General features: G+C 36.0%; 1 protein-coding gene and 1 long non-coding RNA gene across 3 annotated transcripts in view; one reads left to right on the top strand and one right to left on the bottom strand.

Annotated features, from left to right (window-relative positions):
- The window catches only part of PGM2L1 (phosphoglucomutase 2 like 1), a 68,118-nt gene that overhangs the window by 10,411 nt on the left and 32,861 nt on the right, over window positions 1-24,846 (top strand). The window contains exons 2-6 of one of the 2 annotated variants that reach the window (XM_011544953.4): window positions 6,772-6,834; window positions 13,441-13,608; window positions 16,206-16,312; window positions 17,037-17,121; window positions 19,448-19,531. In XM_011544953.4, coding sequence (XP_011543255.1) covers window positions 6,772-6,834; window positions 13,441-13,608; window positions 16,206-16,312; window positions 17,037-17,121; window positions 19,448-19,531 — 507 coding nt within the window. The remainder of the gene's footprint in view (window positions 1-6,771; window positions 6,835-13,440; window positions 13,609-16,205; window positions 16,313-17,036; window positions 17,122-19,447; window positions 19,532-24,846) is intronic. The other variant, NM_173582.6, reaches the window with a different exon arrangement.
- Window positions 19,292-24,846, bottom strand: part of LOC112268078 (uncharacterized) — a 40,429-nt gene continuing 34,874 nt past the window's right edge. Inside the window, exon 3 of the long non-coding RNA XR_002957258.2 lies at window positions 19,292-19,958. This is a non-coding gene — a long non-coding RNA (uncharacterized LOC112268078). The remainder of the gene's footprint in view (window positions 19,959-24,846) is intronic.

Genomic DNA, 24,846 nt, shown 5'->3' with positions numbered 1-24,846 from the left:
AGAACAACATGTACAATTTGATGCCATATATGTAAAAAAAGAGTTAAAGCAAAACTGCATTTTACAAGTATGTAGATGTGTAGTAAAGGTCTGGAAGAATGTATTACAAGCTGTAAGCGGCACCTCTAAAGGTGGGGTCTGGGAATGAAAGTAATGGTCAATGATGTCTGCAGCTTTATCTGTATTATTAGTATTTTTAAAATAAGAGAAATGTGTTACTGTAATTCATAATAAAGTAAAATTTAAAATATAAATAAAAATTAAGTGGTTAACTGTCTGACATTGGCTTTTAAGGGCAATAGGAGTTCAAAGTCAGGAAGATTTTTTGTAAGAGGTAGAATTTGAGCTGGGACTTGAAGGGTAAGTAGGATACAAATAGATAATGGATATGGGGCAAAAATTTAAAATGGGCACAGTAGAATCATAAAATGGAAAATGACACTGATCAGGGAAATGAAACTGAGCAGGAGGCATGCAGAAACCATGAACAGATTTCTTAAGTATAGCGTATGTATTGTGCTACTATGGTGAGTAAGTATAGGTGAAGGAAAACTAGTGTTTATGAGTGATCATGTACCAGACATGGTACTTACTAGATGCTTTCATGTAGAAAGTCTCTTAATTCTCCCAAGGATTGTTTGAGGTAGTTATTTCCATTTTTTTAAGCCTATGCACAAACCCAGGCTCAGAGAAGTGTAGAGAGAGGGGACTATTTGAATCCAAGAAGGTTTCAAACTCCTTTGCCCTTTGGGATCTGACCCCAACCTTTCTAATTTTTACATTTGATGTAATGAGAATTGAACTCTATTGCTGATTCTTGGCTGATTAATCTGGCTGCAGCATGTAATTAGGATGAGATGGAATGGAGTTGTGGAGGGGATCCTGGAAACTCTCATAGAAATGTAGATATAAAAGTTTTACATAAGGATGTTTGCTTTGTGAGAAAATCAGGAAAAGAAGCCATAAGACTCACTAGCAAATTGATCTCTGTCTTCTTTTTAAAAAGACAGAAAATGATAGTTCCCATTTCGTTAAATCATATATTTTGCTAACTTTGAATCACATCTTTTAAAAGAAAGAAATTATAATTTAAATTCACATGCCCACCTCTCTGATTCCATTTTCCTCCCTTCTTCCTTTCCTCAAAGTAACCAAGGCATATCTAGGAATACTAGGGTTTTGTTTGATTTTCTTTTTCAGTTAAAATATCATTTTGTTTTTCACTTAAATGAAGATAACTGTGGGAGGCTGGGTGTGGTGGCTCATGCCTGTAATCCCAGCATTTTGGGAGGCCAGGGCAGGAGGATTGCTTGAGCCCCAGAGTTTGAGACCAGCCTGGGCAAAATAGGGAGACCTCATCTCTACAAAAAGTAAATAAAATTAGGTGGGCATGGTGGCATGTGCCTATAGTCTCAGCTACTTGGGAGGCTTAGGTGGGAAGATTGCTTGAGCCTGGGAGGTTGAGGCTGCAGTGAGCTGTGATGGCACCACTGCACTCCAGCCTGGGTGACAGAGTGGGACCCTACCTCAAAAAAAAAAAAAGTTTTTTTTTTTGACAGATATTGCCAAATTGCCTTACAGAGAGTGTGCACCAATGTATTATTCTACCAATAATATATAAAAGTGCCTGCTTTCTCAAATTCTTGACTCTACCATGCAGTATCAAATATTTTTCTTTGCCATTGTGAAAAATAAAAACTATATTTTATTTTAGCTTTAATTTCCATTTTTCTTATAAGTGAGGTTGTATATTTTCATATACTTAAAAGATAGCTGTATTTCCTTTTCTATGAACTATTCATATCTTTTGCTAGCTTTTCTATTGAGTTATTAATCTTTTCTCCTGTTTTAATGCCAAAGAAATAAGTCTTTGATGTATCATGTATTACAAATGTTTTTTTCTCAGTTTGTCTTTTGAATTTATATATGTAATTTTTATCACGTAGAACATAATTATAATTTTATTGACAGCATAGTATTTCACTTGGTAAATATATCATATTTAACCATTTCCTTTTTGCTGGATGTCTTAAAGTATTCTGATTTTTAAAAACTATTTTGAATAATGCTGACAGCATCATTTTGCATATAATTTTTTCCCTTAGATTATTTCTATAACATGTAAAGATGACATATACATGATACAGAGATATTTAACTTCTGGGAAATGCTGTCAGACCATAATTGTAGCCTAATTTCAGAAGAATATGGAATTTGGGCTTTATTGAAAAAGAAAAAGCATATTATTGTTTCCTTTCTTGGTGGTTTTTATGCTGATGGGCAGGGTTCTCCTGTTGGTAGTATTTTCGCCATTTCAAAATATGCATTAAACATCAAGCCATGAATCTTTTGTCTGAGTATACGTTAAATTAAGCATAAAACTATGGAATCTCAGTTGACAGAAATATAGATATTATCTTATTTAAGCTCCTACTCAGAATAAAAACATGTTCTGTAGTATCCCAAATAGGCAACTTCCGTATGAGAACATTTCTGGTATAATGGAGTCTTGTCTTACTTAGGAGTTAGATTCCAAAGTCAATAAATAATGATAATGGTATAAAATTTTAAAATCACCCTTGTAAACCCTTAAATTGTCCAAGAACTACAAGATACATGATTTCAAATATCTATCCTTACACAGTAATATATGAGAATATGTAACATATGTAGTAATGTGCCATATATAATAGAGCACATACACAAAATACAATTTTAATATTTAGGAGGCAGGGCTAAATACATATAGTGGAGTACATGTAAGTTAAGTGTAGTAAAGCCATACTATATAGTGCAGTGTTGTAGGATAGAAAGATTTCTGCTTCTAGAAATGACAGATGAGGTAATTTGGACAATCTTCCTCCAACAACTGGAAAAAACAGACAAAATATAGATTTAAAAATCTGTTTGAAGGTGTTATTTAATGTTAGTCAAGAGTTTCCAGTTTAAGATTTGGAAGAAGAAGGAAATTCCAGGCCATGATCTAGAAGAAGACAGAAATTCAGAGAGCTGAGTTTAGTATTTAGGGGGCCACTTTTGCCCAGGGCACATTTATTGATCAGGATAGGCAGCTAAGAAGATTGTCAGTCTTTTTGTTAGCCTTGCTAGTATAGCGGGACAAAAGTTGGAATCTAGGCCCTATTGCGGGTGGAGACCCTGAAAACACTCTTACTTTAGGTTAGAAGTCCAAAGGGCTGCCCTGTGAATACTGGTGAACTCAAAGTAAACACTCCGCATACAGACTATATTCCAGTTTTGAGTCATTTGGATGGCTTGGAAATTGGATTAAAGTGAACCTAGATTGCTAGTGCTTTCAGATGCCTAAGAAAAGCAAAACAACAAACAAACAAACAACAACAACAACAAGTTTCCTGGAGGGAGGTAGCTTCATCTTAGTTTCCAAATTATTCCTACTAATAATATTTTAAATATAATACCTAATATTACAAAAATAATATAAATATAATAGTACAGAGTCAAAGATAACCAAACATATAAGGAAGCAAGTCAACATAAACAAGAACCTGCAGAAACAACAGATAATGCAAACTGACCGGCAAGGGCTCCTATATTTATCAAATGTAGACTTTAAAATAACTAAGATTGTCAAGATCAAGAAGATTAAAAAAGATTAAAATTGAGCAGAGAGCAGAAGTAAGAGTAATCTCATAAGTTAAAAAAATTGGTGGAGAAATGAAAATAATACAAAAAGTAAATTTTTAAAAATAGAAATTCTGAAGCTGAAGAAATACAATAACCAAAATTAAGAATTCAATGAACAAATTTAACAACACTTTAGAGAGGAATCAGAGAGAGAATTAACAAACTACAAGATAGGTCAGTGAAAAATAGTCAGAACAAAGCATGGAATGACAAAAGGATGCGGGGGGAGTGGGGGAGTAAAAGAGAGGCTACGAGACATAAGATGATACAGGAAAAGGTCTAACATGCTATTCATTGGAATCTCTTAAGGAGAGGAAAGAGATAGTTACTATGAAATTTCCTAAACTGATGAATGACATTAATCCACAGGTTAAGAGTTTGGGGTTACAAAGGAATATAAATCATTCTATTATAAAGATATATGCACACGTATGTTCATTGCAGCACTATTCACAATAACAAAGACATGGAATCAACCCAAATACCCATCGGTGATAGACTGGATAAAGAAAATGTTATATATATATATATATATTTATTTATATATCTCCATAGAATACTATGTATACATAAAAAGGATTGAGATCATGTTCTTTGTAAGGACATGGATGGAGCTGGAAGCCATTATCCTCAGCAAACTAACACAGGAACAGAAAACCGAACACCGCATGTTCTCACTTACAAGTGGGAGCTGAACAATGAGAACACATGGACACCGGGAGGGGAACAACACACACTGGGGCCTGTCTGGGAGGCGTGGGGAGGGAGAGCATCAGGATAAATAGCTAATGCATGTGGGACTTAATACCTAGGTGATGGGTTGATAGGTGCAGCAGACCACCATGGCACACATTTACCTATGTAACTGGCACATGTATCTGGAATATAAAATAAAGTAAAATTTTAAATAAATAAGAGTTTGGGGTTAATTTGTATTCTGTAAACTTTTCTCCTTGATTACATAAGTAATCCTTCCCTATAAAGATATAAGGAACAATCACATTTTTTTTTAGTTTTATTTTTCTGTGCATTTATGTGTATTTTACAAATTTGGAATTGTATTGCATGTATGGTTTATATACTTACTCCCTTAATATATCTAAGTGTTTTTGCATATTAAAATTCTATTGTGATTTTTTAATACATTATTTTAATGTATTATTACATCAGCCTTTTTATTTAACCAGTTTTCTATTAACATGTGGCTTGCTTACTTTTTTATTATTAACATTACTTTAGTGAATATCCTTATGACTAAATCATAACATGAATCCGTGATTATTTCCTTGGGATAAATTTCTAGAAGTAGAATTGCTAAAACAAAGACTATTTAATATTTAAGCTACTTAAAACATTGGCAAATTGTCATCTGAGATGTTGTATTGATTTATAGTCCCTCTGTAGCAGATTGTGTTTTTAAAGACGGCTGCACCTATATGTCCCATTCCACATGCTCTTCTTATTGTGTGACTTTGGTACTCCTCAATTGAAAGGTGGGATCTGTGTTCCCTCTGCTGGAACCTGGGTGGACTTTTGTAACTGTCTAAAGAAATATAGTACAAAGCAGGTGCGGTGGCTCATGCCTGTAATCTCAGCACTTTGGGAGGTTGAGGCGGGAGTATTGCCTGAAGCTAGGAGTTCAAGCCCAGCCTAGGCAACATGGCAAGACCCAATCTCTACAAAAAATTAAAAAGTTAGCCAGGCACAGTGGTGTATGCCTGTAGTCCCAGTTACTTGGGAGGCTGAGGTAGGAAGATTGCTTGAGCCTGGGAGGCAGAGGCTGCAGTGAGCTGTGTTTGCACCACTGTACTCCAGCCTAGGTGACAGAGTGATACTCTGCCTCAAAAAAATAAAAATAAAAATAAAAATAGTAAATACAGTGCAGTGGAAGCTAACCTGCCTTTCAGGGCTAGGCCATAAAAGGTAATATGACTTCCACTTGGCTTGCTTGCTCATGGGACACTTGCCTTTGGAACCCAACATTGCAAGGAAACCGAGGCCACAAGGAGTGGCCTCTGTAGGTGTTCCATTTGATGGCCTCCACTAGGCCCCAGCCTACAGTCAGCATCACTGCCAGATAGACAAGCCTACAGCAGGACACAGACAAGCCATCCTGGCTGTGCCCTTTCTGAATTCCTAACCCATAGAAACTGTGAAAGATAATTAATGATTATTGATTGAAACCATTAAGTTTAGAGTGGTTTTTTACTAAGCCATAACAATAAATACACTCTCATTCTCCAGCACTAGGCTTATTCATTTTAAAAACTCTTAATCAAGTTTTGGGTGAAAAAATGGTATCTTGTTTTGATTTTCATTTCCTTGGTTACTAGAGTTAATTTTCATTCCCCAGCACTGGGCTTACTCATTTTAAAAATTCTTAATAAATTTTTAGGTGAAAAATGGTATCTTGTTTTAATTTTCATTTCCTAGGTTACCATTGGTGGGGGTGGGGGGGAAGCAATGGTTAGCGTGCTGGGTATAGATATTATTTCAAATTCAGTAAGTCTAATACTGAACTCATTATCTCTCTACTCCCAACTTGTTCCTCACCCTCCTTGCTCCACAATCCAACTCCTACTGATCTTTCACTTTTCAGTTCAAATATTACTTACACTGGGTGCAGTGGCTTCACACCTGTAATTCTAGCACTTTGGGGAGGCCAAGGCAGGAGGATCACTTGAGCCCAGGAGGTCCGGGCTGCAGTGAGCTGATATATCCCCACTGTACTCCAGCCTGAGCAACAGAACGAGACTCTGTCTCAAAAAAAAAAAAAAAAAAAAAAAAAGACAAAAACACAAACAAACAAAAAACCCTACAAATACGCCAAAGTTTCAGTGGCTTACACAGTGAAAATTTATTTCTTGCTCACGTTACAGCCCAGGGCTGGTCCATGAGGTAGGAGGTAAAAGAGGGGGATTTTGCTCCGTGAAATCATTTATTCCATCTTGTTGCTACATACTCCTCTAGGTCCTTAGAGTCCTCTCTGTTTAATGGGTAAATGGGGAAAGAGGAGTGGTGGGGGAGTAGGTCTGGGGCTAGGCATGGAAGTGGTGCACATCTCTTTCATATCCAGTGACCACAACTCTGTCACATGGTCTCATTTAGCTCCAAGGGAGGCTGGCATGGTGCCCAGGAAGAAGAGTAGAACATGATTCCTGTTTTTTACAGGTGAGGATACTGGAGTGAAATTACCTGTTCAAGGTCATAAAGCTAGTAATAGATGCTACTGGAACCCTTGAACTTAGTATACTTAGTGCCTCACATGATCACTTACTGACAAAACCTGTAGAGTTTGAAAAGTTAATCTCAAAAATCATCACATCTGCTTGGAATCTAAAGTCTAAGGAAAGGTGAAGTGACTTGTTCAGGATGATCTAGCTAAGCAATTGCTGACTCAAGATCAGGGCCAAACCTTCTAGAATTATAGTTCAGTGATCTTTCTCTCCTGCAGTGGTCTACTGAGCACATTAGCCAATAATTGGATTCTTTGTTGGTCAAGAAAAGTATGATGTGTCAGAATAGTTGTAGAAAGACAATAAACATTTGAAATATTTTATGTTGACTACCTTATATGAGAAATATTTTTTACTTAAAACTTAACAGAGACAAGTTAGACTATGTCATTGAACAGTAAAATTGAGCTCAATGTATGTGCTTTGTTAAAATTATAGTTTTTTTAAAAAAAGATAGGTTTTTTTGAAACAAAATAATTAACTTTTTTAAATTTTTCACACTAATTTGGTATATCTAATATTCTTAAATGATAATATTTCAAGGATTATTTTCTACTTTGGGGGTAATTAGTACTTCATTTCATGGATATGATTTTTGTGTTTATTAAGCAATTATTCAAATAAATCTCATTTTATATGATGAGTATATTTTATATTCAAGTTTTTTATCTAAGCCAAATTTATGTTAATTTCTACCAATTTTTTAAAGATAAGGAAATTAAATTTAGAATTACACAAAAATTATTTAAATAGGAAAGAATGATTGGTTTAGCATGAATATATTTTGGACTTAATAAAGAAACATCTGATTTAGAAAAGCTGTTCTGCTCCAAGACTCTAGACTTGGATCTTCAAATCGGCTTACCCTCAGAAGTAAATGTCAGCTGTGTTTACCTTTCAGATTTTCAGATTGCACTTTCCTGTTTTAACTTCTGGTTAGAAATAAACTTTAAAATTTGTTTGTCTTTCATTCAAGATGAGGGGCAAAATAATAAATAGATAAACAAAATAAAAATGTTTTTCTCTGTAGTTATATAAAACTGGTATTTATTATTTAGACACAAGTCTCTGTCAGTAACATTTAAAAATGTTATGTACAATTTTGCAACTTTAGAAGTATTTGAGTTCTTAAGAGTCAATTTTGTATATTGGCTCCCCTTTAGATGTGTAACAATATTAGAATTTGGGATTTTTTTTTAGACAGAATTTCACTCTTGTTGTCCAGGCTGGAGTGCAAATGTCATGATCTCGGCTCACTCTAACCTCCGCCTCCCACATTCAAGCAATTTTCCTGCTTCAGCCTCCCGAATAGCTGGGATTACAGGTGCCCACCACCATACCTGGCTAATTTTTTGTATTTTTAGTAGAGGCGGGGTTTTACCATGTTGTCCAGGCTGGTCTCAAACTCCTGACCTCAGGTGAGCCATCCACCTCAGCCTCCCAAAGTGCTGGGATTACAAGCATAAGCCACCGCGCCCAGCCTGAATTTGGGATTTTTAATATATATTATGTTCTTTTAGATCTGTTCCAATCTTCTAAACAATACGATTCATGTTTTTGAGTGTATTTAAGCTGTTAGGTTTTGTACTAGAATACTAATAGAGTAGATTCAAATTGTGTTAGAATTATTAAAATAGTAGGTTTATAAGATAAGTAGGAAAAAAGATTTACAGGCAAACTCTTTAATATGGTTTGGCTGTTTTGTCCCCTGTAAATCTCATGTTGAAATGTGACCTCCAATATTGGAGGTGGGTCCTGGTGGGAGGCGTTTGGGTCATGGAGGTGGTTCCCTCATGAATAGCTTGGTTCTCTGCTGGTGATAATAAGGAGTTGTCACTCTGTTAGTTCACATGAGGGCTGATTGTTGAAGAGCCTGGCAGCTCTCTTTTGTTCCCTCCTTCACCATGTGATAGGCTGGCTATCCTTCCCTTCTGCGATGACTAAAAGCTTCCTGGGCCTCACCAGAAGTGGAGCAGATGCTGGTGCTGTGCTTGTACAGCCTGCAGAACCATGAGCCAAATAAAACTTATTTCTTTATAAATTACCCAGCCTCAAGTATTCCTTTATACCAATGCAGACAAACTAACGCACTTCTCATTGGCAAACTTGATTACTTTTTTTACACTCTTTTATAGACATTTATATTTATTATACATAAATAATATAGAAGTCCCTAGTTATGAACAGAATAGGTTCAGAAAACTTGGGCAAGTTCAAAATGATCCTTCATAAGTGAATGTTAATACTTTCATTGGTCAGCAGGCAGAGTTGATGTGAATTTTGGTCTGGTGTGTAACCTTCTGCACATCTGTGAAAGTTTGTAAGAAGTTAATTTTTTTAAGTGGTTTTGGAAAAATCAATTCTTTCATGTTTTCTTTGAATTTGGGCCTTATGGTTCTACAATATAGAAAAAAGAAAACTCCACAAGTACTATGTAAGAAGACACTTTCTTTTCTTCATTTCAGCCATGTAAAGTTGAAGCAAACCATAGGATTAGAACCTAAAGGAAAATTTTTGGTATACAGGTAAAATTTGAAAATAATGTATGGCTTTTTTCTGTATTCTGCACCTTACTGATTTCATACTAAACAATTAGCTTTATTACTGATGAAGTACAGAGAAATGCTAGTAGTCACTAAGATCTTTTGGATTTTCTGCAGGATTACTTTTTTGGAGTACTAAAATTGTTAGGATTCTAAGATATGCTAGTTAAAAGCAAATTTATTTCAGATTGAATGCATTTACTTTCTAAATAATTAATTTTCATTTTATATAATAGGTCAGTGTGTATATTTCTTTTTCTTTTTCTTTTTTTTTTAATTGAGACGGAGTCTTACTCTGTTGCCCAGGCTGGAGTGCAGTGGCGCAATCTCGGCTCACTAAAACCTCTGCCTCCCTAGTTCAAGTGATTCTCCTGCCTCAGCCTCCCAAGTAGCTGGGACTACAGGCACATGCTACCATGCCCAGCTAATTTTTGTATTTTTAGTAGAGACAAGGTTTCGCCATGTTGGCCAGACTGGTCTTGAACTCCTGACCTCAGGTGATCCGCCCGCCTCGACCTCCCAAAGTGCTGGGATTACAGGCATGAGCCAATGTGCCCAGCCTGGTATGTATGTTTCTTCAAAGCAGGTCAGTCAAATAGTTTTCCTACTGTCTTCCTCCTCTTTTTTTTTTTTCCTGACTAGGCTTCTACCCCCAAGTAATCAGTGAATTGTAAATAAGAGAGCACATTCAGAAAGCAAACAATAATTTGCATTTGAGAGAAAGCCAATATATGTTTTATAGATTCAGATCTTATCAGTAGCTTTCTGTGAATGGGAAAAGGAGAGCAATTTGTGAGGTAAAAAATTATTCACATAGACACACAAGTAGTGGTTTTTCTCAGCCATCATGAATACCTAACTAGTTTTTAACCATAAAAAAGTGATATATACATAAAATATCCAAACAGCATCATGGCTATCCAATAAAAATAAGTCACTTTTCTACTTGAAACCCCATGCCTAATATCCCCTTCAGAGGTAATCACTATTTTTAGTCTCTTATATTTGCATGGAATACTTCTAGATGATATATAAATATACACATACCTCTTTTTATAGAAATGAAAACACTGTATATACTCTTCTGCTCTCCTTTTCATTTACTATACCTGAGTTCTACATAAAAATTTCATTTAAAAATAATTAGTTGGCCGGCGCGGTGGCTCACGGCTGTAATCCCAGCACTTTGGGAGGCCAAGGTGGGCGTATCATGAGGTCAGGAGATCGAGACCATCCTGGCTAACACGGTGAAACCTCGTCTCTACTAAAAGTACAAAAAATTAGCTGGGCGTGGTGGCGGGCGCCTGTAGTCCAGCTACTCGGGAGGCTGAGGCAGGAGAATGGTGTGAACCCGGGAGGCGGAGCTTGCAGTGAGCCGAGATCGCGCCACTGCTCTCCAGCCTGGGTGACAGAGCGAGACTCCGTCTCAAAAAAAAAAAAAAGAAATAATAATAATGATAATTAGTTTATAATTCTTTAGAATCTTCATATATTATAGTTTATAAAATCGTAGTGATATATTGACTTTAGCAAAAAAATACAAATGTAAGTTCATCTGAATGGAGAATATGTGATAATTATGGCTGCATAGATAGTTTTTTAGGTTATATTTTTAAAAGTTTATAACATCAACATCTAAATTAATGTCTCACTGTTAAATAGGGGAGAAATCTGAGTGTAAAGTAGATTTCAAATGCCAGTTGTCATAATTATTTAGCTTTTTTTGCCATACAAATGTATTTATTATGTCTAGTATATCATGATTTTTTATTCATTTTTATTTTTCTCTAACTTACCAGTTTTTCAACAACCAGGAATTAGGTTAGTACTGGTTGTGAAGTCTGTAACTGGGAATGGAATTTTTAGGCCCTACTCTAGTAGCTGTGCAGTTAAACATTAGGAAGTATACTCAGTAACCAACAGCATTTATGTCTGCTGGATCATTTATATATGTGTGTGTGTATACATACGTATATATACATACATATATGCATAATGTGTATATACACATATATACTCATTAGATATATATACATACTACATATATACATATATACATACTGTATATATACACACATATATACTATATACACATTATACTATATATACATACTATATATATATACACACACACTATACTTGTTATAAAAAGGAATATCGTTTTGCTTTGTAACTGGAGTTAAATTGTTATCAGAAGCATTATTAACACCCCAACACAATTATTTTGTTTGTCTGTAGTGAGATGGTGTAGGCTTTAGAGCCAGCCCAGCCTAGGTTCCCATCCTGTCTAAATTTCCAATGCCACCTCAGTGATACTAGGCTCCCTCTCTAAATCTTAGTTTCTTCGTCTACACAATAGTAATATTAATAATAATACTATCCATACAGATGCTGCAGTGAACATTCTTATATGAATAAATGTTATTGTTCATGTGAAGGTATTTTTGTGGACAGAAATCTATGGGCCAAAAGGCATGTGCAATTTAAAATTTGATACTTGCTGTAAAAGCACTGTAAAAAGACTATCCCAGTTTACATTCCTACTAGCAGGGTATTACAGTGCTATGTACCCTCTAAACGTGAAGAGTCTATTCAATTTTTGCCATTCTTATGCCCATCTTTAAATGTTAGCCCTCTTCAACTCTCTTTGGCCTCTCTATGAAATATCATGGTATCTTAGACATGATAATATCCCAGATATTGTTATTCATATTTTTCCATAATAGCTATTCATATTTTTATGTAGGTTATTTGTTAGTGTGTGCCATTTATGAAACAGAAACTGCTTGAGTCTGGATTTTATATATCATCCATTAGTTTTAAGCAGATTAAAATTTCAGTTAATCTCATTCAACTTCTCATTAGTTTGGCCATGTACTCTGGTTACTTTAATTTCTACTATAACCAGAAAACCATTTTGTTTAAATTGTATATTAATATGTTTTTATGTATTTCTAAGGACAAATATACTGTAATATTTAGCACCTTTTATGTGCACTGGTTTATTATTCTGAATATTCATTATCATTGTATATACTATGGATGTTGAAGAAGCAAATAGAATGGACTGAATTCATATTAATCTTGAAGAGAGAAGTTATGTTTCATCTTATTTCCTTAATATTTGACTTTTCCAAAAAGAAAATATTGGAAAATTCCATGTAAGTCTTACTGTTATTATAAATGCATTTCTATTTGAAATTTGATATTCTTTTGTGAAGCACCATTTTCAGTGACAGGTATTCTTGAGATTTATGAAAATAAGTTAAAGTACACGACAATGAAATACAGAATCCCAAATATAGATGTTGGCATGCACTGCCTCACAAACCGTGTTTGGAATGAATTTGTATTCTCATTCTTAATTAAATTCACACTTAACACATAAAACGTTTTTATGGTCAACTTGTGCCATAGATAAATTGAATCGTTTTCTGTGATTTTTAAGGAGTAGAATTCATTTTGAATTGCAGAGGTCTAGGCAGGTAACTGGTAGGCATGTTTTGATGGTATTTATCCAGTAGTGTCTCTATTTCTCTTAAAACTTAATGTATTAGCCAGGTGTAGTGGCACATACCTGTAGTCCCAGCTACTCAAGAGGCTGAGGCTAGATCACTTGAGCCCAGGAGTTTGAGGTTACAGTGAACTATGATTGAAACCTAACATAGACTCTAACTTAATTGATGTCGTTTTTTACTAAGAGGTTTATTTTGGATTCAAAGCTCTTAAATATCAATTATTTTAAAAGAACATTCTTTGATATGCTATACAAATACTATAAAATTAAAAGATATATAAATCACCCTCAACAGGCCCTTTCTCCTTTGGGGACTCAGTGAATGGCAGGTATTATTTTATTATACATACAAAGAAGTAGCACTGTGGAATTTATATTGAATGTTGAACCTTGTGATATGTACATATTGACCCCTCAGAAGGGCTTAATATTAGGACTCTGCTTGGATTCCTGGTTAAGTTTTAATACTTCTTTTTTATAGAATCCCAAAACAAAAGAGCAGATTGAAAACCTGTTACGGAATGGGATGAACAAGGAGCTGCGAGATCGTCTTTGTTGCCGAATGACTTTTGGGACTGCAGGACTTCGTTCTGCCATGGGGGCAGGGTTTTGCTATATTAATGACCTTACAGTAATACAGTCAACACAGGTAAGTATTATAAAGTATTAAGAGTGTACTTTTGACTGGACATGGTGGCTCATGCCTGTAATCCCAGCAGTTTGGGAGGCTGAGGCGGGCAGATCACGAGGTCCAGAGATCGAGATCATCCTGGCCAACATGGTGAAACCCCGTCTCTACTAAAAATACAAAAATTAGGTGGGCATGATGGCGTGTGCCTGTAGTCCCAGCTACCCGGGAGGCTGAGGCAGGAGAATCGCTTGAACCTGGGAGTCGGAGGTTGCAGTGAGCCGAGATCGCGCCACTGCATTCCAGCCTGGCAACAGAGCGAGACTCTGTCTCAAAAAAAAAGTGTACTTTTTCTCAGTCTGGTTTTTTTTTTTTTTTTTTTTGGCTTTATAAATTAGGTAGTGCCATTCTAAACGCACACACACACAAAACTTTATTTCCCAGAAGTTACTGTTATGTAAGTAAAAACTGTAGACTCAATTCTGACCTTTAGTCTTGCTCAAGATTTTAGAAGTCATTTATGTATCTTCATGGTCACAGACTGACTTTCTGATTAAGCGTTATTTTGGTTGCCATTGTCAACTTCTTAACAATGTTGCTTTGCATTTGAAACCAAGAAATGTATATTAGCATATCCAATTAATACAAAGAAACAAACTTAGATAGAAGAAAATAATTACTCATTTTGGCATATGGCCATTTATAAAGGTTAACCAGAGTATTTGGAAAATTTAGTTGAAAATATTTTCCTCTATCACATATCCTTTATGTGGTTTTCTATATCCACATGAGAGTTAATATTAGTTGTGTAATATGATATAATTTGTGTTACTTCTCTCCATTGTTATGCAGCTCACTCTAGAAACAAATTGCTTCTCTTTGCAGTGAATCATCCTGTTTCAAATAACTATACTTTTGAGGCCAATAATGTATTTAGCTTATACTAAAAATAGTTCTGGGCTAGAGAATTGTTCAGTAGACATAATTCTAATTGATACTCCCAAACAGTAAATCATCTTTAACCTTATTCTGAGAGAATTCTCTAAAGCCAAGGCCTAATGCAGGGGTAGGAGAGAAGGAATGACAGGATGGTTACATAGGTAGAATACCTGCCCTCCTTCCTCACCCACACCTCCCCCTATTCCTCAACCAGAGATGCTTTAGTTCATTCTTTTCTTATACATTTAGTCTCTTCATATGCTTTGATTCGAAGTAAAGATTTCTTGACTTTACAAAAAGGGGTGGGGGAGGTGTTTGAAAAGCAATTTCTACAGAAGTGCACATTTTCACTGGATTTGGGATTCCATGGTGTGAAGTGGAAAAGCTGGATGGAATCTGATTCTTAAGCCCTAGCCCTTTTCACTCTATTAGGTTGGTGCAAAAGTAATTGAGGTTTTGGTCATTTTTTTTAATGGCAAAAACTACAATTACTTTTCCACCAACCTAATGCATATAGAGAAATAAGATGCATTCTGATAGCAGAGATTAATATGAGGGTCTATGAGGTTTTAGGATAGTATCACCATGAGAAATAAGTTGTTGAATCCAGCTGATATACTAAGCATGCACTCACTCATAGCTTATAGGTTGGGGAAATTAATTGTACTTGAGAGACTCAGGCACCAGAAGTCACTGGGACTTTGTTTGGTGCTACCACATACTTATTTAGCAGTGCCTGCCATATAATAGGTCTTCAATAAATCAGTATAACTTAGTTTTAGTTGAATGAATGGCCTTAGGCATGACATTACATGGAGCTTTAATCTTATTGTCTCCTATTCTTAAAAGAAATATTGAAAGAGACCAAATTAGAAATGGTGTCTGCGTTTCTTTCTTTTCAGGGTGTTAGGATTACATGTCCCATCTTTTATGTAGAACTAATTTTAAAGGACTGTAATAATATAAAATGTTAAAATGTTATTTTTAGATATTAAAGTATTTATTAAAGTTAAATAATTCATGAGATAGTTAAATGGTTTTAGTTTGTCATTGTGATGTTTTCAATATGAAATACTTTTTCATTATTTTGTCATCCATGACTGCAAATTTTCCTAGTCTATGGTGTTATTTTTCTGTGAGATTTTAAAACCAAAGAATTACAAATGGGATCATCCATCATAAGAAATGTTCTAGTGAAGAACTGTGTTGCTGATTAAAAATGTTTACATCATAAATAGGTCAAATCTTTTGGTTAACTTCAATCATATGATCTAGCAAGGACTTAAGACAATTAAAATTCTGTTTTCTAGAGCCTTCAGACAAGAAACAATTTTATGTTGGCTCTTCTAATCTTTTTTTTTTTTTTAGCTTATTGACGCTCATGTTTCTTCTGCTTTTCCTAATGTTTTACTTATTGTATTGGATTTAGTGGTTTAGTAGTGGTTACTAAATCGGTATTTCCATGGTATTAAATGTGTCTGAAACTCCAGGACATGTTTGTCATCTTACATTTCTGGATTGAACAGTATTGCTCCCACACTGGTAAACATGGGCATAAAGGCAGAAGCCACTTCCCTAGCAGCCAGTCAGCTGCACAGCAAACATAAAAATAAGAGATTCTGAGTCATATGAAATGCAAGCATCCATTAGAACTAATCTTTTGTGTTTATTTGCTTCAGGGGATGTACAAATACCTTGAGAGATGTTTCTCAGACTTCAAGCAGAGAGGCTTTGTGGTTGGGTATGACACTCGGGGTCAAGTAACTAGCAGCTGCAGCAGCCAGAGGTACAAAGTTAATTGTTTCAAAGATTAAGTTGAAATAGAATAAAACATATTTAAAACATTTTTTTGTCTAGTAGTAGGATTTCTGAAACAGTAGACTGTCAGATAGAAATGTGATCACATGCTAATATTTACTTTAAAGCTGAAATAGAAGAAAAAGTATCTCAAAGAAAAGCTTTAGATTTTACAGAAAGAAGTAAAAATTTAAAATATTTAGAGTTCATATTTAGAATGACATCATAGCTTATAACTTTAATATTTTGGCAAAGGCACCGGGTAGTAGTAATTATGTAGCTTATATTCTCATTATATGCCTATTAGATTAGTTTTAGGGTGTTTTTATAAATAGATAATCATGTAGTGATATCTTTCTTCAGGGGTAATAATGCATATTGAGTTTATCAAAGTCTCTTATATCACTTTTTCCATTCTTTTTGCCTTTTGCAGATTTTATTTCTTAGTAAAAGAGCCATCAAAAGATGAATGAGGGAAAAAGAGGAAATTGAAATATCAATTATGTTAGTTGTTAAACTCTTCTTTTAAAAAAACTTATTTATTTAAAATTTTCCAATTAGGGCATGAAGTTTAAATAATCAGTGATTATAAGAAAGGGCTATATTAGGATACTATTTATTCAGACTAATTATAATATGAAACATTTATGTGGAAGGTTGGTTTTTAAAAAGTATGGTAGGCAAAGGACTAAGTTAAATCTCTCTTTTTTTAGGCTTGCTAAACTCACTGCTGCAGTCTTGCTGGCCAAAGATGTTCCTGTGTACCTTTTTTCAAGATATGTTCCTACACCTTTTGTAGTAAGTGTGTTGTGTTGGTGATCATATAGCTTGCTGCTCTTGAAAACATTTCTTAAATCAACTAGGATTCAAATATTTTTTGTGCATGTAGTTCTGTATTGAGTAATATAAGGGACCAATGGAAGGAAAACAAATTTTGCTTTGAGTTTATTTTCATTCAACAGACATTTGTTAAACTTAGCTAAGAACTTGATCTATAAAAGTTGACAAGTCTACAGTTATAGTGAAATATGTTAACATCTTCTTTCAGAAATTGATTCATTGGGCAGACAAAAATGATGAAGGATAGATTTGAACACATTGTTAACAGGCTTGATCTGGGTGTGTGTGTGTGTATGTGTGTAAAAATTCTCTATTGAGTGACAATAGGATTTACATTATTATTAAGCAGAATCACAGTCTCAGCAAATGCCAAAGAACTGCTTATCAAGCCATATACCTGGATCCCATGCAATAAAATCAGAAATAAAAAAGCCCATAAATCTTCCCCTGTTTGGAATTTTTAAAACACATTCATAAACTATTCATGGATTAAGGAAGATAACATAATGCAGATTAGCAATGACAGACAGTCCTTGCTTTGCACGGAGCGTGGGGGCTATAAAGACAGCTGTACAAGCCAAAACCATGCCAAATGATCTTAATCATAAATGAGAAAAATTATGACTGTTCCATGACCTTTAACATTTTTTTTTGCCAAAACATTAAAAACACTCTTACTCTTGGTTAAAAATGTATAGGGAAAAGAAAAAACAATGATAAAATGAATGTTTATTTAGTACATTGTAATTTAAAACGTTAAGAAACATTGATAACTAAAGTACTTTATTTCTTTGTAAAAAGAACTTATCAGGAGGCCAGGGGCAATGTCTCATGCCTGTAATCCCAGCACTTTGGGAGGCCAAGGTGTGTGGATCACCTGAGGTCAGGAGTTTGAGACCAGCCTGACCAACACAACGAAACCCCATCTCTACTAAAAATACAAAAATTAGCCAGGTGTGGTGGTGCACGCCTGTAATCCCAGCTACTCAGGAGGCTGGGGCACGAGAGTTGCTTGAACCTGAGAGGCAGAGATTGCAGTGAGCTGAGATTGTGCCGCTGAACTCCAGCCTGGACAGCAGAGCAAGACTCCATGTCAATAAATAAATAAATTAATAAAACTTATCAGGAGATAAACAGAGCTTGCTTCTTGTGGTTATAATTTATTTATATTACAAGCAAGCATCTTTTCTGTGCCTTGGCAAATTGTTAATATACCTTTCTGAGTTTGGATTCACTTCCAGCATCTTATCCTTTGTTAATTTCAATGTCGTGAAATATCTCTGGGAGTTCCTTTAATATGAAGGTTTTTTTTGTTGGTGTCACTTCCTCTGGGACATCTTCATCCTTCTCATTACAGCCTCGTTCCTCGTTTAATCCATGTGTTCCCCTTCACTACACTTCCCTGGTAGTATGTCTAAAGTCTCTTGAATGGCAGCAGTGTCAGCATTCCCACTTATTTTTTCTATAACTCCATTTATGTTTAATTCAAATTTCTCTCTATTATTACTCCTTTTTGTTTCTTTGCTGCACTTTCACCTTTGTTGGCCAATTCCCACTTTCCATTATCCATTTTTGTACACTGTCATGTGGGTCTATTATTGGGAGAAAAGGAGGCAATAGAGCCACATGTTTTGCAGTTTGTGTGAGCGCTAAGTAACAGATGCTCAGTGACCAATCACTGACACCCTTTTGAAGAGTGATATGATTGATCACTCATCATGATGTGGCTGTGTTATAAATGTAGGGATGTGTGGACTGAAGAGTTAGAAGCCAAGTGTGTACTTGATGCAGTTATGGCTAATATTACCGTGGTAACTGAAATTTGAACGTGTTGTTGGGAGACTGGAGCTATTTTAACAAAAGCATAGTATCAGTAATTTTGTGTATAGGAACTGAGCAAAGCAAGGACTGCCTGTAGGTATTTAAAAGTGAGCAATAATGAAAATAATACATAGCAAAAATTATGGGATATAACTAAAGCCCTACTTAGAGGGAAATGTATAGCCTTAATGAATATATAAGGAAAAAAAAGATTTTAAAATAATAAGTTGGCTTTCACTTAACATGTTTGTGCTAAAACAGAAGAAATCCAAAAAAGTAAAAGGAAGGAAATCTTATAATAAAGGTATGAGGAAAAATCAAGTAAATAGAAAATAAAGAGGGTATCAACAAAAGCAATATCATACTATAATGCTTTTCCTGTTATTTAATCAAAATTATTCTCATGTCAAATGTGTAAATAGCTAGGAAGCAAAATGGAATTATGGTGTTATTTATTTTTCAGCCATATGCAGTTCAGAAGCTCAAAGCAGTTGCAGGTGTGATGATTACTGCCTCTCACAACCGCAAGGAAGACAATGGATACAAGGTAAACCTTGGACTCCTGACCTTTGCTTATCTTATAGTTCATCTTTTTTATTCAAATAATATGTGTTGAGTATGTTTTCTATACTGGAGAGCAGAGCTAGACATTGGGAACAGAAAGTTAAAAACACTGAGGCTGGTCCTCAAAGAATGTGTATCCCTAATGGTATTTATTACTTCTCAATGTGTACAATTACAAAAATGTCTTCTTTAGTTCTTTTATTCCTAATTGTCCTTGATTTCTCTATCCCTTCCTAAATCCATCCTCTCTACCGTTTCATAAAGTCACATTGCAGCAAGTACTTGAAAAATGAATCGGAGTTTTCAACAACAGAACCAGAGGAATGGTACCTTATCCTCACTCTCCTCTCTCTCTGACTTTCTGCCGGAGCTGCTTCTTGGCCACAGGATTCCACTTGATGGGTCAGCCTCTGTGACAGAAAGCAGAATGGAGAAGGGTGAAAAGTGGCTCTGGAGGGGAAATAGAAGAATGCAGCACAGTATTGAACCACGATTTGGGGCTTCTGGGTGGGTCATAAGCCTGTGTTCTTGTATTTGTTTTTCTTCTTATGTTGGAGGACTGCAGACATACCGAGCTCTGTCTTACTGGCAGAAAGATTTAAATGCTAATGTAAGATTTTGGCCCTGGTCAGCTAAGTGAAGAACAGTGTTACCATTCATAGGGACAGAGAAGAAGCGTGATTAATTCAGTTTGGGACATATTAAGTTCAAGGTGTTTGGGTCAACCAGGTAGCAATGTCCTATAGGTAGTTGGATATATAGACTTGTAGCTCAGGGGAGAAATGTGGACTTAAGTTATAGAGTTGTGGGTCACCACACATGTTAGAGCATATAAGATTATTTGGACATCCTTTACTTGCATGAGTAGCCCAGAGAGAGTATAGAGCAGAAAGGAAAAAGGTCAAGAATGGATCCCTAGGGAATATCAACTTTAAAGGAAGGGAAGAAGAGAAGCTGGAGTTAGGAGAGTCTTCTACAAATTCTATGTCTAAAATAGAGGTTGAATATGTTTACCTCTGCCCATATCATATCCTCTACCATCACCATTCTAAACCATTGTTGTCTTCTTTTGAAAGACTAAACGAGATTGGTGTCATAAAAACCAAAGAGATAAAAGAGTGCAAGGAATTATAGGTCCACTGTCAAAGAAAGCCAAGAACCCACATCTCTTCTCTGATCATCTGACTACATAGCCAACTGCCTACTTGATACATTGGGATGTCTAACAGACACCTCAAAATTAGTGTCTCTAGAACAGAGTTCTTGATTCCCCCACAACATATACACCTAAGAGTGGTCCTCCTTCAGTCTGTTATCTCTGTAAATTAACATTACCACCCACCCAAACAAAAACCAAGGATCATTTTTTATTACTTCCTTTCCCTAACATTTTATCTACTAACGGGTTCTACAGATGCTATGTCTAAAATAGAAGTTGAATACACTTACCTCTGCCCATATCCTCTACCAATCATCATTCTAAACCATTGTTGTCTTCTATCTGAACCTAAGCATCCTAATTGGTCTCTTCCCTGCTTCCATTGTTCTCCCTGCAATCCATTCTCCACAAAGCAGACAGATGATCTCTTAGAATATGAACTTTCCTGCTTAAAGTTCTTCAGTGGCTTCTTATTCTTTTGATAAAACCCAACCCCCTTGCCTTGGAGCTTATAAGTCTGCATAATCTGCCTCATGCCTGTTTCTTCATTCCTTCCCTTCCTGCGCTCACTGCATTCCAGTCATACCACTGCTCCCTTCTGTTCTCCAGCTCCTCCAACATAGCAAGCCCTTTCCCACCTCTGAGACTTTATAATTGTTTTGTCGTCTGCTTGGATTGCTCTTCCCCAAATCTTGCCAACTTGCTTATTTTTATCCTTTGGGTTCCTACTCAGATAGTGCTTCCTTGAAGGATCTTCCCTGGCTACCTTATCTAAAATGGCTTCCATCAGTGACTCTTTCTTGCCATCTTATTTCTTTCACAGAACTTATCGCTGCTTCTTCCTTTTTTTTTTTTTAAGAGATGGGGTCTCACTCTGTTGCCCAGGCTGGAGTACAGTGGTATGATCACTGTAGCCTCAAACTCCTGAACTCAAGGGATTCTTTTTTTTTTTTTTTTATACTTTAAGTTCTAGGGTACATGTGCACAACGTGCAGGTTTGTTACATATGTATACATGTGCCATGTTGGTGTGCTGCACCCATTAACTCATCATTTACATTGGGTATATCTCCAAATGCTTTCCCTCCCCCATCCCCCCACCCCACAACAGGCCCCGGTGTGTGATGTTCCCCTTCCTGTGTCCAAGTGTTCTCATTGTTCAATTCCCACCTATGAATGAGAACATGTGGTGTTTGGTTCCTTGTCCTTGAGATAGTTTGCTGAGAATGATGGTTTCCAGCTTCATCCATGTCCCTACAAAGGACATGAGCTCATCCTTTTTTATGGCTGCATAGTATTCCATGGTGTATATGTGCCACATTTTCTTAATCCAGTCTATCATTGTTGGACATTTGGCTTGGTTCCAAGTCTTTGCTATTGTGAATAGTGCCGCAATAAACATACGTGTGCATGTGCCTTTATAGCAGCATGATTTATAATCCTTTGGGTATATACCCAGTAATGGGATTGCTGGGTCAAATGGTATTTCTAGTCCTAGATCCTTGAGGAATCGCCACACTGTCTTCCACAATGGTTGAACTAGTTTACAGTCCCACCAACAGTGTAAAAGTGTTCCTATTTCTCCACATGCTCTCCAGTACCTGTTGTTTCCTGACTTTTTAATGATCGCCATTCTAACTGGTGTGAGATGGTATCTCATTGTGGTTTTGATTTGCATTTCTCTGATGGCCAGTGATGATGAGCATTTTTTCATGTGTCTGTTGGCTGCATAAATGTCTTCTTTTGAGAAGTGTCTGTTCATATCCTTTGCCCACTTTTCGATGGGGTTGTTTTTTTCCTGTAAATTTGTTTGAGTTATTTGTAGATTCTGGATATTAGCCCTTTGTCAGATGAGTAGGTTGCAAAAAGTTTCTCCCATTCTGTAGGTTGCCTGTTCACTCTGATGGTAGTTTATTTTGCTGTGCAGAAGCTCTTTAGTTTAATTAGATCCCATTTGTCAATTTTGGCTTTTGTTGCCATTGCTTTTGGTGTTTTAGACATGAAGTCCTTGCCCATGCCTATGTCCTGAATGGTATTGCCTAGGTTTTCTTCTGGGATTTTTACGGTTTTAGGTCTAACATTTAAGTCTTTAATCCATCTTGAATTAATTTTTGTATAAGGTGTAAGGAAGGGATCCAGTTTCAGCTTTCTACATATGGCTAGCCAGTTTTCCCAGCACCATTTATTAAATAGGGAATCCTTTCCCCATTTCTTGTTTTTGTCAGGTTTGTCAAAGATCAGATGGTTGTAGATGTGTGGTATTATTTCTGAGAGCTCTGTTCTGTTCCATTGGTCTATATTTCTGTTTTGGTACCAGTACCATGCTGTTTTGGTTACTGTAGCCTTGTAGTATAGTTTGAAGTCAGGTAGTGTGATGCCTCCAGCTTTGCTCTTTTGGCTTAGGATTGACTTGGCAATGCAGGCTCTTTTTTGGTTCCATATGAACTTTAAAGTAGTTTTTTCCAATTCTGTGAAGAAAGTCATTGGTAGCTTGATGGGGATGGCATTGAATCTATAAATTACCTTGGGTGGTATGGCCATTTTCACAATATTGATTCTTCCTATCCATGAGCATGGAATGTTCTTCCATTTGTTTGTGTCCTCTTTTATTTCGTTGAGTAGTGGTTTGTAGTTCTCCTTGAAGAGGTCCTTCACATCACTTGTAAGTTGGATTCCTAGGTATTTTATTCTCTTTGAAGCAATTGTGAATGGGAGTTCACTCATGATTTGGCTCTCTGTTTGTCTGTTATTGGTGTATAAGAATGCTTGTGATTTTTCCACATTGATTTTGTATCCTGAGACTTTGCTGAAGTTGCTTATCAGCTTAAGGAGATTTTGGCTGAGACGATGGGGTTTTCTAAATATACAATCATGTCATGTGCAAACAGGGACAATTTGACTTCTTCTTTTCCTAACTGAATACCCTTTATTTCTTTCTCCTGCCTGATTGCCCTGGCCAGAACTTCCAACACTATGTTGAATAGGAGTGGTGAGAGAGAGCATCCCTGTCTTGTGCCAGTTTTCAAAGGGAATGCTTCCAGGTTTTGCCCATTCAGTATGATATTGGCTGTGGGTTTGTCATAAATAGCTCTTATTATTTCGAAATACATCCCATTAATACCTAATTTATTGAGAGTTTTTAGCATGAAGGGCTGTTGAATTTTGTCAAAGGCCTTTTCTGCATCTATTGAGATAATCATGTGGTTTTTGTCTTTGGTTCTGTTTATGTGCTGGATTACATTTATTGATTTGCATATGTCGAACCAGCCTTACATCCCAGGGATGAAGCCCACTTGATCATGGTGGATAAGCTTTTTGATGTGCTGCTGGATTCGGTTTGCCAGTATTTTATTGAGGATTTTTGCATTGATGTTTATCAGGAATATTTGTCTAAAATTCTCTTTTTTTTTGTTGTGTCTCTGCCAGGCTTTGGTATCAGGATGATGCTGGCCTCATCAAATGAGTTAGGGAGGATTCCCTCTTTTTCTATTGATTGGAATAGTTTCAGAAGGAATGGTACCAGCTCCTCCTTATACCTCCAATAGAATTCGGCTGTGAATCCGTCTGGTCCTGGACTTTTTTTGGTTGGTAGGCTATTGATTATTGCCTCAATTTCAGAGCCTGTTATTGGTCTATTCAGGGATTCAGCTTCTTCTTGGTTTAGTCTTGGGAGGGTGTATGTGTCCAGGAATTTATCCATTTCTTCTAGTTTATTTGCATAGAGGTGTTTATAGTATTCTCTGATGGTAGTTTGTATTTCTGTGGGATTGGTGGTGATATCCCCTTTATCATTTTTTATTGTGTCCATTTGATTCTTCTCTCTTTTTTTCTTTATTAGTCTTGCTAGCGGTCTGTCAGTTTTGTTGATCTGGATTCATTAATTTTTTGAAGGGTTTTCTGTGTCTCTATCTCCTTCAGTTCTTCTCTGATCTTAGTTATTTCTTGCCTTCTGCTAGCTTTTGAATGTGTTTGCTCTTGCTTCTCTAGTTCTTTTAATTGTGATGTTAGGGTGTCAATTTTAGATCTTTCCTGCTTTCTCTTGTGGGCATTTAGTGCTATAAATTTCCCTCTACACACTGCTTTAAATGTGTCCCAGAGATTCTGGTATGTTGTGTCTTTGTTCTCATTTGGTTTCAAAGA

Source organism: Homo sapiens, chromosome 11 (genome assembly GCF_000001405.40).
Source record: "Homo sapiens chromosome 11, GRCh38.p14 Primary Assembly".
Lineage (NCBI taxonomy): Eukaryota > Metazoa > Chordata > Mammalia > Primates > Hominidae > Homo > Homo sapiens.
This window is presented reverse-complemented; position numbering and strand designations above follow the sequence as displayed.